Source organism: Homo sapiens, chromosome 13 (assembly GCF_000001405.40).
Source record: "Homo sapiens chromosome 13, GRCh38.p14 Primary Assembly".
NCBI classification, from domain to species: domain Eukaryota; kingdom Metazoa; phylum Chordata; class Mammalia; order Primates; family Hominidae; genus Homo; species Homo sapiens.
Window position 1 is genome coordinate 24,288,318 of NC_000013.11, and position 18,768 is coordinate 24,307,085.

The following is an 18,768-nucleotide window of genomic DNA, read 5'->3' on the forward strand; positions in this document are numbered from 1 at the left end:
AATTCATACCAAGTAGTCATTGGTATGTGTTTTACTCCATGGTCAGTTTATTCTACTGAATGTCATGATAACTCTTTTTGAGTTAGCTGTTACATGTATGTACAGCCTTTTCTTCTTATCCCACTAGCTCCTACCTAAGCCATAGTATAGCCATGGTGTTGCACATAGATAATTAGTGCAAGCCTCAGATTAAAGACCCACAGATTGATGCTGTCCATAGAAAGGCGGTGCTGGTGGAATCCTTGGGTAAGAGGAATCCTTGCCCTGATGAACAGTGCACAGAGCTGCATGGGCTATTCAGCAAGCAGTGACATTCTGCATTTGACAAGTCTCCTGGGCTGTGAAATGGAATTAGGGTTGGGAGAATGATTACCTGAAGAGTTTGGAAAAACACGTGACGACACCAATTTTTGAGCTCTGGTATTTGAAACTTGTTTCTGGAAACATTATATGGTTTATTGGATCCTAAATCCAACCGCATGAGCCTTTTTGCTTTCTTTTTATTTTAAAACACCTATGGCAAATTGCAGTCATGGAAGTACGATGACCTCATCAGAGACTCATAGAGTCTTTTTAATTAAAATTCATTCCAAGTTCATGGCTTTAGGCCTACAAAAGCTGTACTATTCAAATAATTTATTTGGATTTCCAAATAAAAAGTATTACTTCTGTATTTTGCAGGGCTATATCCGACAGTGCCGCAAGCACACAGGAATGTTCACCGTTGCGCAGCTAGCCACTATTTTTGGAAACATTGAAGATATTTACAAATTCCAAAGAAAGTTTCTGAAAGACCTTGAGAAACAGTACAACAAAGAGGAACCTCACTTAAGTGAAATAGGATCTTGCTTTCTTCAAAATGTGCGTCACCCTTTACTTCATTATTAATAACATCTGCTTACATAATTTTGAAGTGCATCTCCACAGAAAACAGGAGTCTCTTTTGTTTTATTGTTTGTTTGCTAGATGAATCTTCCATAGAAAGGAGATGTTTCTTCTATCTTATATGCTTATCATATAAACAAAATCTGTATAGTTAATCTTGTCTAAATGTCCCAAATTCATTTTTTCAAAATCCTTTTATGTAGTCTGGAATTAGGGGGTTACATTTGGAGTAATTACTTTTTAAAAATTTCTAAGGGTTATGCCATAAGAACTATGGAGTCCTTCCTAATAATATCCAGGAAGTGTCTATTACATTTCAGGCACTGTTTCCAGGGTTTTCTTATATTAGCTTGTGTATTGCTATGAGGTAGATATGATTATCTCTCACTTTCTAGATGAGGAAACTAAGGCCCAGAGAGTAAGTAACCCAAGACCACATACCAGTAAGAGGCATCTGTGAAGGCAGACCCGGGCATGCGGCTCCAGGACGCATGGTTGTGATACTGTAACTGCCTCAGAACCTTCCTGTGATAACATGCATTTATCATTTTTTAACTTATGATTGACTATTACTACTTAACCGCTAAAGGATTTCAGAGGAAGATTTTAGTCCCAGCCCAAATAGCTAGGGAACAGTAAGAGTAATAATAATAACAATGACAGCCTCACCACACCTTCACTTCCTGGGTGCTGGGCTCAGTAGCTGTCTAGAGTCCTCTGGGGCAGATAGATTTTAAGTGGCTGGGCATAATGTTTTTGTGTTAAGTTAGTCAGCTGGAGGCTGGGCCCCATGTGTGACGTGGGCATATCTGGGACATTGTCACAGGCCTCCTTGTGTGGCCTGTGCAGAAGGTTCCTGCAGGAGCCAGCTTAGGACAGGCTGGAGGCCAGGTGGTGGCATGAGGAAGGTAAGTCTCACAGTGAGGACAGGGGAGTACTGCTGCCACCAGGGAAGGGGTCTTGGCGGGCCCAGCCAGGGTGACGGCAGAGAATTGGGAAGAGAGGTATGTTGAAATGGGCATTTTTGAGGAAAACCTGACAAGACTAGTTGTAAACCACAAAGAATAAGCAACGATTAAAACTGCATACATGGTTTTCAGCGAGTTGAAAAAATTTGTGGGAGGGGGACGTTAGAGGCCCTGCTCCCCACCTTCCAGGATGAGCGTGAGGCAGGCTAGAAAGAGACCAGGGTGCTGAGTTCCAGGGCAGCCTCATCCCCAACCCCCTCAGGAGCCTGCTGAAGCACCCCTTCTCGCCGGCCAGATAACGCTTGCGGAAACCATGGCAGGGCAGCTTGGGTGCCAGCGGATTTCATGCCCTGTCCTTCTTGCAGTAGTCCATCTTCCTCCTTTCTAGGAGTGTCCCTTAGAGAGGGCTGGGATGATGCCTGTCTTTGTCATGTCCCAGAGGCACCCCAGAAGCTGACGAAGCTGTACTTTTCCTTCCCAGCAAGAGGGCTTTGCCATCTATTCCGAGTACTGCAACAACCACCCGGGCGCCTGCCTGGAGCTCGCCAACCTCATGAAGCAGGGCAAGTACAGACATTTCTTTGAAGCCTGCCGCCTGCTGCAGCAGATGATTGACATCGCCATCGACGGGTTCCTGCTCACACCAGTGCAGAAGATCTGCAAATACCCGCTGCAGCTGGCCGAGCTGCTCAAGTATACCACACAGGAACACGGGTGAGGGGCATGGGTAAGGGGCACAGGTGAGAGCACTGCTGCCATTACCCGTAGGCAGCTCTTAACTCCAGGCAGTGATAGGTGGGCTTCAGTGTCAGCCTTAACACTTTGGGAGCTCCATGGGAGAAGTTTTCAGGTTGTTTAGAATGTGTGCAATTAACTATTGAAATAGAGTGGTTGAAGAGCCTCCAGGATATCCAGTCCTAGAGCTATGAAGACACAAGGGCCATTCGTGAGCTGTGCCACGAGTGCATGGCGGCTTTTGTTGTATTGTTATGTTGCTTACCTGTATTTTATAAACATGTCTTTGAGTACTCAGTAGTTAGTAAAGACGGTTTCTGAGGGAAACAGACCAGTGTGAATGGAAAGCCATAACTCTGGTTCTCTCCTGTACCCTTGAGGTTGACGTACAGCAGCTCGGCTCAGAGCAGGATTCTTTATGGCAGAAACATTACTTACTAGTGGCTTACCTAAAGTTACTTGTTGTTAAGCAGTCTCTATTTAGCAACCCCTTCTCTATTTAGAAGGGGTGAGGGCACACACAAGCTTGAACTGTAAAAGGGTGTGGATTGTCAGGGGTGCAAACCCATATGGGGCAGCTGAGAAGACCAGGGCATTGGGCACCTGCTGGGCCCTGAGCCGTTCCCTACCCACCGGGGTGCCGACTCTCTGGTCTTCTCCCTGTTCCCTCCTGCTGGGAGCACAGGGCTTCCTTCCATGCTTACCTGAATGCTGCATCTCCCTTCGAGCTTCCTTGGTGCCTGACTAAGCTCTTCTTGTTACTCACACTTCTGTTGTTTGGATCTCGGCTTCTCCTGAACAACAAGCAACAAAATACACTCTCTCTCTGTCTTTATTTTTTTATTTTTTTATTTTTTTTTTTGAGACGGAGTCTCGTTCTGTCGCCCAGGCCGGACTGCGGACTGCAGTGGCGCAATCTCGGCTCACTGCAAGCTCCGCTTCCCGGGTTCACGCCATTCTCCTGCCTCAGCCTCCCGAGTAGCTGGGACTACAGGCGCCCGCCACCGCGCCCGGCTAATTTTTTGTATTTTTAGTAGAGACGGGGTTTCACCTTGTTAGCCAGGATGGTCTCGATCTCCTGACCTCATGATCCACCCGCCTCGGCCTCCCAAAGTGCTGGGATTACAGGCGTGAGCCACCGCGCCCGGCCTCTCTCTGTCTTTATTATCTGCCTTGGTTGTTTCTGGATTCTTCTCACGCCCTTGTTCCCTAGCTATATGATCTCTTCTGGGGGAGCCAAAAGTTACCCTTTGTTTCCTTAATAGCCAACCATCATTTCGTGCATGCACAGAAGCCTTTGTGTGGTTATACATTAGGCATGTCACCCATTCAGCATTGGAATGTGCATGCCCATTTTCCATGCCATGGGAAAATGTCATCACAGCACAGCCCAGCTGTTGGGTACCTCAAGGTAGCAGTGCTTGGCTAATTCTGAGTTCTCACCTGGCCAGCAGGGACAGGATAGTCATAGGGCAACTGCTATGTGCCAGGCTCCAAGCCAGGCTACCCAGGGGCGCAGGGGTCTAGGCTAAAGCTGACTCTTTTAGATGAGAATCGAAACAGGGTCCATGCCCCTGACACAAAGTCTTTAACTGCACCTGCAGCTCTGGAGAGGGTCATCTCAAAGGGTCCTAATGAGAAGAGGAAGAGGGAAGGGATTGTACCAGGAGGAAATTTCTATGGCAAACCACAACAGTTCTGGGTTTCAGCAGCTAAATATCTTCCTGCAGGGAGTGGAGAGTGAATCATTATTTTGTCCTCTCTGCCTCTGAACTCCTGTGGAGAGACAGACTTAAAAAAGGAAACTTCTGGCCGGGCGCCATGGCTCACGTCTGTAATCCCACCATTTTGGGAGGCCGAAACGGGTGGATCACATGAGGTCAGGAGTTTGAGACCAGCCTGGCCAAATGGTGAAATCCCATCTCTACTAAAATGCAAAAATTAGCTGGGCATGGTGGCGGGCACCTGTAATCCTAGCTAATTGGGAGGCTGAGGCACGAAAATCGCTTGAACCCAGGAGGCGGAGGTTGCAATGAGCCGAGATCGCACCATTGCACTCCAGCCTGGGTGACAGAGTGAGACTTTGTCTCAAAAAAAAAAAAAAAAAAAAAAAAAAAGGCGAGGGTGTGGGGAGAGCCTTCTTACAATTAGATTGGAAAGTAAAGAATAAGAGCAGATCACTGAACAATAGACACTAGATATGGGTGTTAGCTAAAGAGTTAGGACTAAAGGAATTAGAAAAAGGAGTTCATTGAAATAGATAAAAGAAGAGAGAGCTATATATTTTTTTCTTTTTCTGATGGAGAAATCAGAAAAGTTCAGTGGAAAAAAAAAAACAGGGAAGTCAAGAGAGCCACAAAATTGAAGAAAAAAAATTATAGTTGTAAATACCTTCTACAGATTTTCAAAGACACTTTTAAGAAAATGTCCTGATGGCATGATGAGGAGTCAGAGCCAAAGACAATTAATAAGAAAATTAAGAAGCAAAGACTTCTTGAAAGACGTGGGCAGGCAGCTTAGTACATTCCGAGATGGGAAAGCTGGGTCCAGAAGTCCACACCTCACTCTTCAGTAGTTGATTTTCTTCCTTTAAGGGCATTTTTCACCAAGAGCATTTGCAGATTTTGGTTTTTTCAAAATAAAAATTAGTTGACATGACAGAAAGTCCATTTCCTTGTCTTAAGTAAAACAAAGCAAAAATTCTTTTAAAAAAACCATTACAATTTAGTTTTGTCCAGAAAAACTTATTTTGCGACCCTTTCTTCATTGCTGGAGGCCTCTTTGGGGGCTCTGTGCCCATTATTTTGGCAGTCCCTGGTGTCATTCTTGCTCCTGCTCTCTGCGCCACTTCTGGGTGTGAATGGGCGTCTCTGAAGACAGCAGGGTCTGCTTGGTGGGCAGTGTCTGGGGACTTCACAGGAGCTGGGATGAATTGTGTTTGGTAAATAGACAATAGAATCTGCTTTCAAGGCTTTCCCATGGCTGCGCAGGAGGATTCTAATTCATTCCAGCTGTGATGGAGTGGCCCTGTCTGTGCTGTAAGTTGCCACGGGAAAGCGGAAAATATAGCTCATTAGCTGGATGGTTGGTCTCCATGGCCCCGCATTATTAACGCTGAGCAAAACCTGAATGGGAAGCTTGCAGATACTGGACATGCTCTGTGCTAGCCTGTGTGTAGATTAAAACTGTAGTTTCTGCTTTTCCGGTGCCTACAGTTTTAGCGGGCTTGGGAGCGGGGCCCTCCTGGGGAGAACATTTTAGCTTGACGTGACTGTGGTGGACGGAAAGCACCAGAAAGGAAGATCTGTTGGTGAGGCGAATGCCATACTGGCATTTCCGTAACTCACCACTTCAGGTGCCTGTCCTCTCCTGTCCTTTCCCGAACAGCATAAAAGATGAAGACTCAGAGCAAATAGTCACTGTTGAAAATGGTTAGTGATTTTTAAAGTACTTTATGTAGCAAGAGTGGTTATATGAGAATCAGAGCCATAATAAAGACTGTTCTTTCTGTATTAATGAAAGTCACCCATTGTCACCGTGACTAAAACTTACTTATTTGTGGCATTTACTGTCATTCATTGTAATTTCTGGGAAATGAGTGAAAACATTTTTATTCCAAAGAATTCTGAATTGCACTGGGTCAGCTCCCTTAATCTATGGCAGACTGTAGTCTATTCACAAGGGAACAAGAAAAAGGGAAACAGTGGCTAATGACGTAAATGTCACTTTGTCTAGAGCATTCGTATACGAAGAAGCGCCCCAGTGGATTATTTTGCCAGTCCTCATTTGTAAGGTGCATGTTATGTGATTAAAATTAACCTCCCATCTTGCAGTGATTACAGCAACATAAAGGCAGCATATGAGGCCATGAAGAATGTGGCCTGTCTGATCAACGAGCGCAAGCGCAAGCTGGAGAGCATCGACAAGATAGCTCGCTGGCAGGTGTCTATCGTGGGCTGGGAGGTAAGTGGAAAGCACCCCACATGATCCCATGCCACTCGCCCTTCCCGCACCTTTGATCTGGTGCAGATGCACTTTAATATCCTGTGGTCAATATCTTATATTCTTGGCTTTAATGGTACATATACCATTAATGGTAAATGTATTTCGAGGCATACTGTTGAATTTAACAGTCGACTACTTTATACCCCACTCCCATAAGAAATAAAATCTGAAGAGTATCTGCAGTTAATTTATTGCTGAGCCTCTCTCTCTCCTCGTAGAGGGAGTACCGTGGGAACAGTAGAGGGCATTTCAGTTGCAGCCACATAACATAGTAGTAGAAGTATGGGGGACTCTGGAGTCCCTGCCCACATGTGAATCCTGTATGATCTGGCCAAGATTAATTTTTTTATCTTATAAATTGGGGAGGAAAATATTACCTACCTCATAGGCTACCGTGAGCATTTTATAAAACAGTACAGGCCAGGCACAGTGGCTCACACCTGTAATCCCAGCACTTTGGGAGGCCAAAGTGTGAGAATCGCTTGAGCCCAGGAGTTTGAGACTAGCCTGGGCAACATGGCAAGACCCCATCTCTACAAAAAGTAAAAAAAATCAGCCAGGCATGGTGGCATACACATGTATTCCTGGCTACTCGGGAGGCTGAGTTGAAAGGATCACTTGAGCCTAGGAGGTTGAGGCTGCAGTGAGCCGTGATCGTGCCCCTGCACTCTAGTCTGGGTGACAGAGCAAGACTCCGTCTCAAAAAAAAAAGGAAAGACCACAAATACAATGCCTGTAATAATGGTCCAACAAATTCTCACTCTCTCTCTCTCTCTCTCTCTCTCTCTCTGTATTCATAAAAACAGTGACAATAGCACCTGTATGTGTTTACCACATGTCTGAATGGCACTGATCTGAGCCATTTGTACATATATGAACTCATTTAATCCTCTACACCATCCTATGAAGTAAGCACTATTATTATACCCATTTAACAGATGGGAAAACTGAAGCACAGAAAGGTTAAATAACTTGCCCAAGACCACACAGCTCAAAAGTAGCAGAGCTGGATTCAAACCCAAGCAGGCACCCTGGCTTCAAAGTCCGTGCTGGTGATCACTGTGCTCTACCGCCATTAAATTAAGAACAACAAGCAGATGCCATTCAGATTGTTTTTAGACCAAGCTACATTGATTTTACATCTATTAATTGGTCAGAACTCACTCTCCCAGAGGACTGAGAAAGTTTGGAGCAAGAAGTTAGGTTTTTAACTGAAATAGGCTATAGGTGGTGAAAATTGGAGAGAAACACATACATTTCAAGGGCCTTATAGACTTCTGGAGTTTGGGCAGGATCTCTGAGAACACTGAGTCCAACTCTTTTATTTCATCAGTGAAGAATCTAGGGCACGGAATTGCTCTGAGCAAGTAAATAGAAGAACTATTTTGGAGTCAGGCTCTTTTGCCTCCAAAAAATATTGTGTGTGACTGGGATTAAGGGAGAATCAAATCTTATTTAACAAAGGCCATTGTCATACCAAATACCATAAAGTAACATTGGATTAGATTCAACCTAAATATAATAAAAGTGTGTTTTTCTTTTTGATTTTGGACGCTGACATTTAGGGGATAATTTGTCAGAAGTTAATTTCTTGCTGACAATTTATCGTCTGGCCTTTTGTTTCTATGACCCTGAACAAGTTGCAATTCCAGGGAGCTGCCATATACTCAACGCAAATAATGTCAGGTCCATAATCACGATACTGTGTCCCCTGCATGAATGCTTTCTCCCATGTAAGCCTGCGTGCTCTCACTCTTGGAGGCTCCGTTTGGGTCAGCTGCTGTTTCAGATCTTGACTGGGTTCCATTAATTCAGCATGCCTCTTACCAGAGGCTTCAGGCTAGGAAGACCCCTCAGCTAACACAGAGGCACTGTCACATTTTTCTAGTAAGCAGGAAAAAAAAAAGAAAAGGAAGAAATTTCAGGCACCAGGAGACCAATAAATCCAGGTTTATTACAAATAACCTTTGAGGCCCTGCCCACCTGTGAATGGGGACAGGTGGTAGGCAGCCTCAGGTACCTAGAAAGTCTGAGAAAGATTCTGTGTTAGGAGTCTCTTCCATATCCTAACACCTGAAGGAATCCAAATTGGGAGTTTGTTTTTGTTGTTGTTGTTGTTTGTTTGTTTGTTGTTGTTGTTGTTTAGAGAGAAGGGTCTTGCTCTGCCCCTCAGGCTGGAGTGTACTGGCGTGATCACCATTCACTACAGCCTCAAACTCCTGGGCTCAGGGGATCCTCCCGCTTCAGCCTCCTAAGTAGCTAGGACTACAGGTGTGTGCCACCATGCCTGGCTAATTTTTAAAATTTTATGTGGAGATGGGGTCTTGCTGTGTTGCCCAGGCTGGTCTCAAACTCTTGGCCTCAACGATCCTCCCACCTTGGCTTCTTAAGTAGCTAGGACTACAGCTGTGGTAGAATTGGAAGGTCTTAAGATGTGTTTTCATCCTTCCAGGGACTGGATATCTTAGACCGAAGCTCAGAATTGATTCATTCTGGGGAGCTGACCAAAATCACTAAGCAAGGCAAAAGCCAGCAGCGGACGTTCTTCCTGTTTGACCACCAGCTGGTGTCCTGCAAGAAGGACCTGCTGCGCAGGGACATGCTGTACTACAAGGGCCGGCTGGACATGGATGAGATGGAGCTTGTGGACCTGGGGGATGGGCGCGACAAGGACTGCAACCTCAGCGTGAAAAATGCCTTCAAGCTCGTCAGTAGGACCACAGACGAGGTTTATTTGTTTTGTGCCAAAAAACAAGAAGACAAGGCGAGGTGGCTGCAGGCCTGTGCAGATGAAAGGAGGCGGGTGCAAGAGGACAAGGAGATGGGTGAGCAGCCCTTGGCTCTGCAGGCACCTGTGCCTCTGCTTGCTGTAATAGCTTCATTCTCCACTCCCATGGGCCTGCTCTGCCCAGCCTTCTCCCTCAGAGCTGAATCCCACCATGGGGAAAGGACAAGGGATCTGCAAACCCTAAATACTTCTGAATGCACTTACAAGACAGACCATGTCAGATGTAGTTACTACCGGCAACATTTATTCAGTATTTACCTTGTGCCAGACATTCTGTGGCCCATTTATAGAGATTGTCTCATTGAATCCCTATGAAGTGGTTGCTGTTATTATACCCAATTTACAGATGAGAAAATTGAGGCTTATGGAACTGGCCCACTCTTGCACTGTGGCCACATAACATTTAAATCCAGCACTTTGGATGCCACATGCAGGGTATGAAGAATAAATAATAAAACCAGTTCAGTGTGACCCCAGAGATGGAACCCCACTATGGTGACCATCACCCAGGCTATCAGAAGTATCACGTGATTCTGGAGGCCTCCCCTTTGGCTGTGCCTGTGCAATACCTTCAGTGTTCTTCACTGCCACAGTTGATCCACACCCAGCAGCCTGCCCTCATGCTTCCCATCTCTCCCTATGAAACTCAGGATGCCGCATCGTCCATTGCAGTTAAGGCGATGGTACTTCACACCCAGTGTTACATTTGTACTTCTTTGGTTTGTCTTCCCAGCTTCTGCTGACCTGGAGGTGCAGTGTGGCCCCTGAGACTGAAGCTGCCATGCCTGGCATTAATGATGGCAGCACCCACAGTCTCTGAGCCTCTATTTCATTGCCTCCCAAGCTCTTTAGGGTTTTGAGCACAATCTGTTGAATGGAAGTCAGGGAGCCACAGTGAAGGATATTCATCTCTGCAGCCCAAGTGAGCCCAGCCCTCAAAAGTCATGGTCCAGGACGGAGGGGAGCCAGCATACGCCCCTCCCCATCCTTGCCCACTGCCATGAGGACAGCAGGACTAAAAACCAGGAGGTGCTTTTTCTGTCCTCCCCAGCCACTGGCTCTAAGCTTGGCTACAGAATTTGGTCTCACCCACAGGAGGTTTTGTGAGATTCTGCAGTAGAGTTGGAGGGATTTACAAGTTGGTCAGGCTAAAACGGAAGCAGGGATCGACTTGGAAACACTCAATGGGTAGACATTGGCCTGGACTTGGGCCACTCCAAGATACAGAGCTCCCCACATCACAGGCAGCCCCTTACACCAAGTGTCAGGGTGTCCTTTACACTAAGAGGAAATCTGATTCCCAGCAACAGCCATAGATTATTGGTGCAGACTCTGGGGCCCCATTGGAATAGGGCTAATCACTCGTGCCCAGAATTCATTTGAAGATGACAGTTACTAAAATGCAAAATGACAGAGCCACAAAATCTTAGTTTTAGTCGTCATATGACGTTGTCTAGCGCAGGCCCTGAAGTCATCTGTAAGTCAGAGTGTTTGGATTCCCAAAGACGGCACTATTTAGTGGGGGCATCCTATGTGCTTTCAACAGTGTCTCTCAATAGGAAGGAAAGGAGGGGCCCGATGTGGTGCCCTTTGCCATGTAATGCTCCCTGTGGCCAGTGCTCAGAGATGCAAGTGCATGACTGAGGCACTCCTGAGCCAGTAAGTCTGTGAACTGGCACGTGTGGGATAAAACTGGATGCATTCCTTGCCTCGAATATTTTGGCAGCCCTCGTACTTGATGCATGTGTGTGGGTAGAAGCTTCAGGTAGCAGATCAGAGAGAATGGACACGGAGGGCCTTGGAGGCAGGGACAGCCCGGTGGCCAGCGTACAGAGCCTGAGCCTGACGTCAGGACAGTCTGGGACAGATGTTGGGCATGTGAAGGAATCAGGGCCAGGGGAGCAGAGTGGGCAGAGGTAGAGAGGGAGCCTCGGGAGCGAGCCAGGCAGTGCAAGCTAGCAGACACAGGGCCTGGGTCAGCTCTGCCAAGCTGGAGCGAGTACCTGCCTACAGGAGGAAGGCTTCCCGCGGGAGAAGGCAGGGCCCCAGCACCCAGCCCTGGCCATTCAGCTCTGTCCTTCCTTCTCCTTCCCCACACCCTGCGAAGCCAAGGGTTGCCTCATCTTGTCTTTCCAGTGACTCTTGTTTCACCCAGTTCACACACTGCACACGTACACTGTCACTGTGCTACTGGACTTTACAGTGAGGGAATGCTCAGGGCACACACTACACACAGCTGGGGTACAGAATCCGCTACCTGCTACTCACGTGGTACCTTTGTTCAGGGTGGAACTGCTAACGTGCAAAGCTCTCATAGCGTATGGGTGAACACGCCCTGGGACCCTTTGCTCTGTCCTCTCCTTCTGGGGCCTCATCCTTTAGGTTATAATTGGGATGACCCTGTGGGAATATTTGCCCGGGAGCGTCGGGCTTCACACAGACATTCTGCATTCTCATGAGCACCACCCCATTTCACTCTCCAAACTGTCCGGGTTTGCAGGACAATCACATGGCCACCTTGGCGATAATCCTTGTGACTTCCCCTTTTCTGATCTTCAACCTGTCCACGTTCTTTGAGGATTAAGGTTCTCTGTCTCAGGTTGTGGTGATAACCTCAATGCTGATATGGGCTGTGATACAAGTTTTGCTCTGAAACATGTCCACGTGTTCTGAATATATATCACATTTATTTCTAAATGCAGGAATGGAAATTTCAGAAAACCAGAAGAAACTTGCCATGTTAAATGCTCAAAAGGCAGGACATGGAAAGTCAAAAGGTAAGTTATGGAGAAGGCTTTGTCCCCTTAATGCTTATCAGTATTCTCCTGAAAATGGGAGCATACCCCAAGTTGTCAGCCTGTGACCAGCTTGGAGCAAGGAGAACAGTAGAAGTTAGAACTCAAGGGCAGGTCCAGAACAGGGGCCAGGTGAAGGTGGCCTGTGTTTGGTTTTGAATGTGCGTCAGTGTTTGCTTCCATTGGAATGTGGGCATAGGAAACCTTCAGAGGGGCTGCTGGAGGGTGGTGGACCTCCTTGCCTGCCTGGGGCCCCTCTGCTCCCCTCCCCCAAGTGCTGATGGTGTTAGCCACAAGGTCACGCACATCCCCAGTCTGAGGCAAACCAAGGACTCTTGCATCTTTTAGGCATGAGAGGACAAAATCTCAAACCCCAAACTGCTTGTCAGCTGTAGGCTGGATATAGTCTAGTTTAAGTAAGAAAAAGATGTAAAGGTTCGGTACATCAGGCAAGGAGTTAGACAAAAAAAGACACGTGAGCTGATTTAGGGCGGTGATTCCCTAATCTCCATGCACATTAGAATTCCCTGGGGAAGCTGTTCAAAAATGCTGATGCCCAGGCCGCATACCCAGGGGCTCTGATGCACTAAGATTTGTCCACACAAATCTGGCCCAACAGGATGCAGATAATCTGGCCCAACAGGAATTCAGTAATAAGGATTTTTCCCCAAAAAATATGCACTGTATTCTTAGAAACTTTATTCCCGTCATCTTTCTACTTTAAAAGGCATTTACCCCATGAAATGTATCTCTTTTGGTATTTTCCTGACTGCAAATGCAAAAACAAGGACCAACGAATCCCAGGACTGCAATAGACCACTGACCTTTAGTCAGTGAAGAACTGATTCCCCAAACCACACTTAACACTCCCCTGCTTTCTCCATGCAAATGCAGAATTTCTTTTCCCCACTAAGTTACAAATATCTTTAAGGCAGAAAAACCCATGTTATTAATTTTTTTAAATCTCCACTTCTAATGTCAGATGACTAGTAAATCAATTTGTTAGAATACATTGTTTTCTGTCCATATCTTCTGCGAGTCACTCGCCCAGCAGCCAGGCTTCTCAAGAACGGAAGGACTGCTGACGTTCACAGGTGGCTACCGGGTGGGACGCTGTGCCTGGGTTATCTGATTTCTTCCTTCCTGCCACCTCGGGAGGTAGGGAGAGCCTTCTGGCAGGCCAGGGGCAGGGACGGGTTCTGAGCCAAGGCCTTCCTGCTTTCAGGGCCCACCCTCTTCGTGCCATGCTGACTTACACAGTTACGTTTTAATCTAATCGCTAATTTTAATAAACCTTCTAAATTACCTCTGCACAGATTAAAAATACCTATGCCGGTGAAGTTTTGATTAGAGTGATTAGATATTGAGGGCACAGTTCTAAGCACTTTACTTCTATTAATTCATTTAATTCTCATAGCAACCCCATAGGTACTGTAATCCCCGTTTTAGGGATTGGGGAACCAAGGCGTAGAGAAATCATATCATTTCCCCAGTAATCCCAGCTGATAAATGGCACAGAAGAATTTGGGCCAAGGCAGCATGAGCTCCAGACTTCCATTTAGAGCATTTTATTGCTACTCACCTTGACTGTCAGTCTGGTTCAGATTCTGCCACTTCCCGCTGCACGTCCTGGCATTCAGTTTCTTTCCCTGTCAAGTTGTTGTCATAATACCCTCCTTGGAGGCTTTTTGGGAGAGTTCAGTGAGAGAGACTGTGTCACGCTCCACACGGAGTACCTGAACATAACAAGTGTAGCTACTGGACCTTCTTTTTGGTTAACGTGAATTAAGAATTAGCTCTCTACAAAAAAATATAAAAATTAGCTGGGCGTGGTGGCACACACCTGTAGGTCCAGCTACTTAGGAGGCTGAGGTGGGAGGATCGCTTGAGCCTGGGAGGTAGAGATTGCAGTGATCCAAGATCACACCACTGCACTCCAGCCTGGGTGACAGTAAGACCCTGTCTCAAAAAAAAAAAAAAAAAAAAAAAAAAAAAAGAATTAGCTGAGAACTTGGACTTGGAGTCTCAGCATTTTTATTTTTTTCCTTTCTGGTTAACAAGCGACCCTCAGTCCCTGTTCCATCTCTCTCCCCTCCCGAGTCAGGCTACAACAGGTGCCCTGTGGCCCCACCGCACCAGGGCCTGCACCCCATCCACCAGCGCCACATCACTATGCCCACAAGCGTCCCCCAGCAGCAGGTCTTTGGCCTGGCGGAACCCAAGAGGAAGTCCTCGCTCTTCTGGCACACCTTCAACAGGCTCACCCCCTTCCGGAAATGAAAACAGGAGGCTGTGCTTCCATGGAGCTGGGTGTCAAGAGAAGAACTGTCTTTGTTTCTTGTGTGCTTCAATCCAGGGAAAGTTTCTTGGACCCAGTGATAAAAACTTCCTTTTAGGGATCAATGAAGGAGAGAAGGTCTTGGAATCACCTTCAGTCTTTGGAGACCCAGCTGCCTTTGTGGAAGGGAGGAGACGGTCATGACACAAAGCTTTATCCTACACAGAAACACCCGTGACCCACTATGAGATGGCCCAGATGTGGGACCCGGTACCATGCTCTAAAGCGAGTGATTAGGCAGCAGCTGAAGCCACCCCTGCTGATGATGAGCAAGTGCCTGCTGCAGGTCCAAACACAGCATCCAGGGCTTTGCAGTTCCTAAGGAGTGATGAGGTTAGAGGATCACTTCTGCATTTGATTTTCAAGGATGCCGTCAAGACGGGGTTGACACAATGCTGCACGTGTCTGGTCACACTTAGAAATTGAGCTCTTACTCTCTTCTGTAATACTGGGGGACCTACAGCTGCCGTGGGGCTGACCACGGTGTTCCCTGGCATCGTCTGTGTCCACACAGATGCTAACTGGTAGTGCAAATGTCATCCTGCAAGGTTCCTCTTCCTGCAAGCAAAGTGGAGAGAAAGAAGATGCATCTGTCACCTTCATCAGGGTCCTCAGTGCAGAGCAACTTACGCATCCTCAAGAATCCACTGCTTTTCAGGCAAGGAGGGAGAAATCCTGCTGCACACTGGCTTTGTCCCGGAGTCGGATTCCCTCCTGCCTGCACGCCTTCAGTAACTCCGAGCAGAAATCACATCTTGCCCACATGCTGTAACCTAAGAAACTGCTATGCAAGGCTGGGTGCTGTGGCTCATGCCTGTAATCCCAGCACTTTGGGAGGCCAAGGCAGGTGGATCACCTGAGGTCAGGAGTTCGAGACAAGCGTGGCCAATATGGCAAAGCCCAGTCTCTACTAATAATACAAAAATTAGCTGGGCATGGTGGCGCATGCCTGTAATCCCAGCTACTGGGAAGGCTGAGGTAGGAGAATCTTTTGAATCTGGGAAGCGGAGGTTGCAGTGAGCTGAGATCGCACCACTGCACTCCAGCCTGGGAGATACAGCGAGACTGTCTCCAAAAACAAAAACAAAAACAAAAAACATTCAAACAACTGTTTGCAATATAAAAAGCTCATTTACTGTAATATTTATGATACAGTGAATATGAAAATGCACTGGTCAGAAGGCACTCTCAAAGAGCCGCACTGCTCCTGACATCGTCCTTAGCAATGAAGTCACAAAGACAGCCAAAGCAGTCCTGCTTCTTGGAAATCAGAAGCTGCCTTTATCACATATAAAGCCAAACAGGGCATAACCATGTCACGTGAGCATGTCATCAGGCTTCTGAGGACTTGTTCTTTATAAAAAAAGACCTTCACAAAATATCTTGGCTTAGAGATAGCAGTCTTTATTAACAAAGGCCACCTAGGCTGACACCTGCAGATAATCATCTCCTTTTCTTTGTCTATGTTGTACATTTTCATGATATAACTTTTAACTATGTCTAGAGAAGGCAGGCTCTGCAAGAGAGGTGCCCTTTCAACCCGCTCAGTGCCCTGGACAGGAGATGCTGTGTTAAACTGTTAATGGATATCTATATGAGAAGCTCATTTTTGTATGCTATCCCTGCAGTTTTTTTTTTTCTAACAGGCCCATGTTTGAGAATAAACAAGTCTGTGATGTCAGAGACAAAGGTGTATTCTTCAGTCTGCAGGTGTGTGGCACCTCCCTTCTCCCCTGCAGCCCCCCACATCCAGAGCCGTTCCTGAGAGTGACATCATGCATCAAGAAAACATAACCTTGGTCCTCAGGTGAACCCTTGGAACATTCTGTGACCGCCTGATGTCCATTCTGAGCCACCTTGGCACACATGCTTACAGGCAGCACTGCTAAGGGTTCAGGTGCCCCATGGCTGACAGCCCGAGTTGCTTCTGTGGACCATCATGCCGCTCGGCACGTCCTGAGACAGAAGTTGCTGCAGGAAGGAGCTTCTGGAGAGGTCCTGTGGCATGTGTGGGGGTGTGTGTGTGTATGTTTCCTTCTTGAACAGACATTCCAACTTTAGATGTGTTTATAGAACTGACCTTTTTACTAACAAAATACAATGATATATGTTGGAAACTACTTAATATGCTTTTCCTGCACACCTTAGCAATAACTGTAGGGGTCTCTGCTAGAGTTGTTTGTATGTACAGCAATTTTGAACAAATTGTTTTAAATGTAATATAAGAGAATTAGTTTAAGGAAGTAAAGAGAATCATTTGCTTGTGTTACATTTTCAGTGAGGATTCAGTTTAAGAGTCATTCTTAGGACTTCCATTTCCTAATATTTATTCATGGGTAATGAAGAAATGGTTTGCATTTTGTGGCCAGTCCTAATTTATTTTCCAGCTGAGCCCTAACTTCCGGCTCCCACCTACCTCCACGGACTTCCTAACAGAGACTTATGAATACCAGGATGTGTTTTTGTTAAGTCAGGTTCAATTCGTTGCCCCTGTCAGTTTTATAGAGTGTGAGGGTCACTCCATTAAAGATCTCTCCTGGGTGGATCCTACTTGGATGTTCAGGTGATTTTGAAAACTGCTAACATTTTTAAAAGGCTAGAACATCCTTTGACTTCTTGAAAATCTGCATGTCTGGCTTGGGTTTTATTACCACATGCCTGAGTTCTTCAAGAATGGAAGGCTCAAGTATTCTCATCTTCCATTTGCCAAACTTCCTTCCTGATTTGAGTCACGTGTTCCACTTGGAAAGAAAGGGAACAGAGAGCCTCCTCCATGGACAGTGTATGAATTTCATTGGGAATCTTGCTCTCTCCCGCCTCTATGCCTTTCTCTCTTTTTAACCTTACTTTACATAATATTATAGATGGGCCAAGAAAAGAAAAGATGACATAACATTTTGATGAATTTCACCTATTCCATTCTTCACGTTTCAGAATTGGTCGACTTTGTTAGAAGATAATTGAAGTAGCCTTGGGTCAAAAGCAACCTTTTCAATTGTGATCATACCTAAAACATATAAAAACCCTGCCGTAGATTAAAAGCAATTATAAAATCATAAAATTGAATGTTTGCAGAATCCTGGAGCAGTAGATTTCTTTGTCTTTGGCCTGCGGACTAGAAAGAGGGCAGCAGTAGTATGCTGGAGCTTCCCTGGGATACCAGCCACATGGTTTCTTTTCATTAGATCTGATTTTTGTTTCCCACTGTAGATCTGATTTTGTAGTTGAAAACATTTCACCACCATCAAACACTATTTCTGAATATTGTGCCTTTTTATACCTAGCCTAGATGAAAACCGATGCCATTCTTATTCAGAAAATCCCCCCATCCTACATGACTGTTATCTAGACATAAAGCAAAGTGCATTTAATTCAAAATTTGGTTCACAATATAAGTATTTTGTAAAAGCCAGCTGAACCAGCATTTTATCAGGTGGAAATCTCTGCAAGCCAAATTGCTGATACTCCTTCATGCAGATCAACTTGGTGTCCCAGTCAGAATAGAACAGCATAATTACCTGGAGTTAGGGGGAGTATTTCTGCACTATTACTTGTCAGGGAGAGAAGAAACTTAGAATTGTCCCTCAAAGGAGTGTCAAGAAGTATGAATAAATGTCCTTTCACCAGCTCACAGGCCAGAAATGGAGGACCCAAGTCAACTAGGTGAAACTACTAGCAGACCCAGCTTTCCCATAATAACCTAATCTGCAAATTGTTCTATTAAAGTCTCATTGTTTTCAGGATGCAATGAAAGTGGATTTCAAAAGGCTTTGGAAAAATAAGTGGAACATGACTGATCTTGAAAAAAAAAGCAAAAGCTTAAATATTTGATACAAGTTTACTTAGCTACAACATACTTTACATTGTTGCCTTTAGTTATCTCACAGGCACTGACATTTTATATTTAGAAAATACTTTTAATCTTTCTAATCTTTTTTTGTAAATATTAGTGTCCATTCTGTATGACTCGCTAACCTACTTTGCAAGGCTTTGGGCAACATTTTAGCTCATTAACTTCAAGATGATGTGTCATCTGTATAGGTCAAAGAATGGGACTTCTGAACTGAGGAATTTGCTGTTGACAGCCAAAGTATAGTGTACAAGATTGATGTAACTTGATATGTATTTTTGTTGAAGTTTTTTGTAAAAAAAAATTATTTACAATGTTATTTGAATGATTTTTTTAAATGCTGTGAATCTATATTTGTTGTTTTGTATATTAAAATTCATTTGCCAAACTCGTTCTGATGATGC

At 45.5% G+C, this 18,768-nt stretch overlaps 1 protein-coding gene across 6 annotated transcripts in view; it reads left to right on the top strand.

The window, feature by feature from the left end:
* Window positions 1-18,752, top strand: part of SPATA13 (spermatogenesis associated 13) — a 327,268-nt gene extending 308,516 nt beyond the window's left edge. For all 6 annotated transcript variants that reach the window (NM_001286792.2, NM_001166271.3, NM_153023.4 and 3 more), the window contains 6 exons: window positions 682-861; window positions 2,335-2,567; window positions 6,422-6,551; window positions 9,046-9,418; window positions 12,084-12,158; window positions 14,281-18,752. In NM_001286792.2, the coding sequence (NP_001273721.1) occupies window positions 682-861; window positions 2,335-2,567; window positions 6,422-6,551; window positions 9,046-9,418; window positions 12,084-12,158; window positions 14,281-14,456 (1,167 nt within the window). In that variant the 3' untranslated portion in view covers window positions 14,457-18,752. The remainder of the gene's footprint in view (window positions 1-681; window positions 862-2,334; window positions 2,568-6,421; window positions 6,552-9,045; window positions 9,419-12,083; window positions 12,159-14,280) is intronic.
* Window positions 18,753-18,768: the final 16 nt, after the last annotated feature.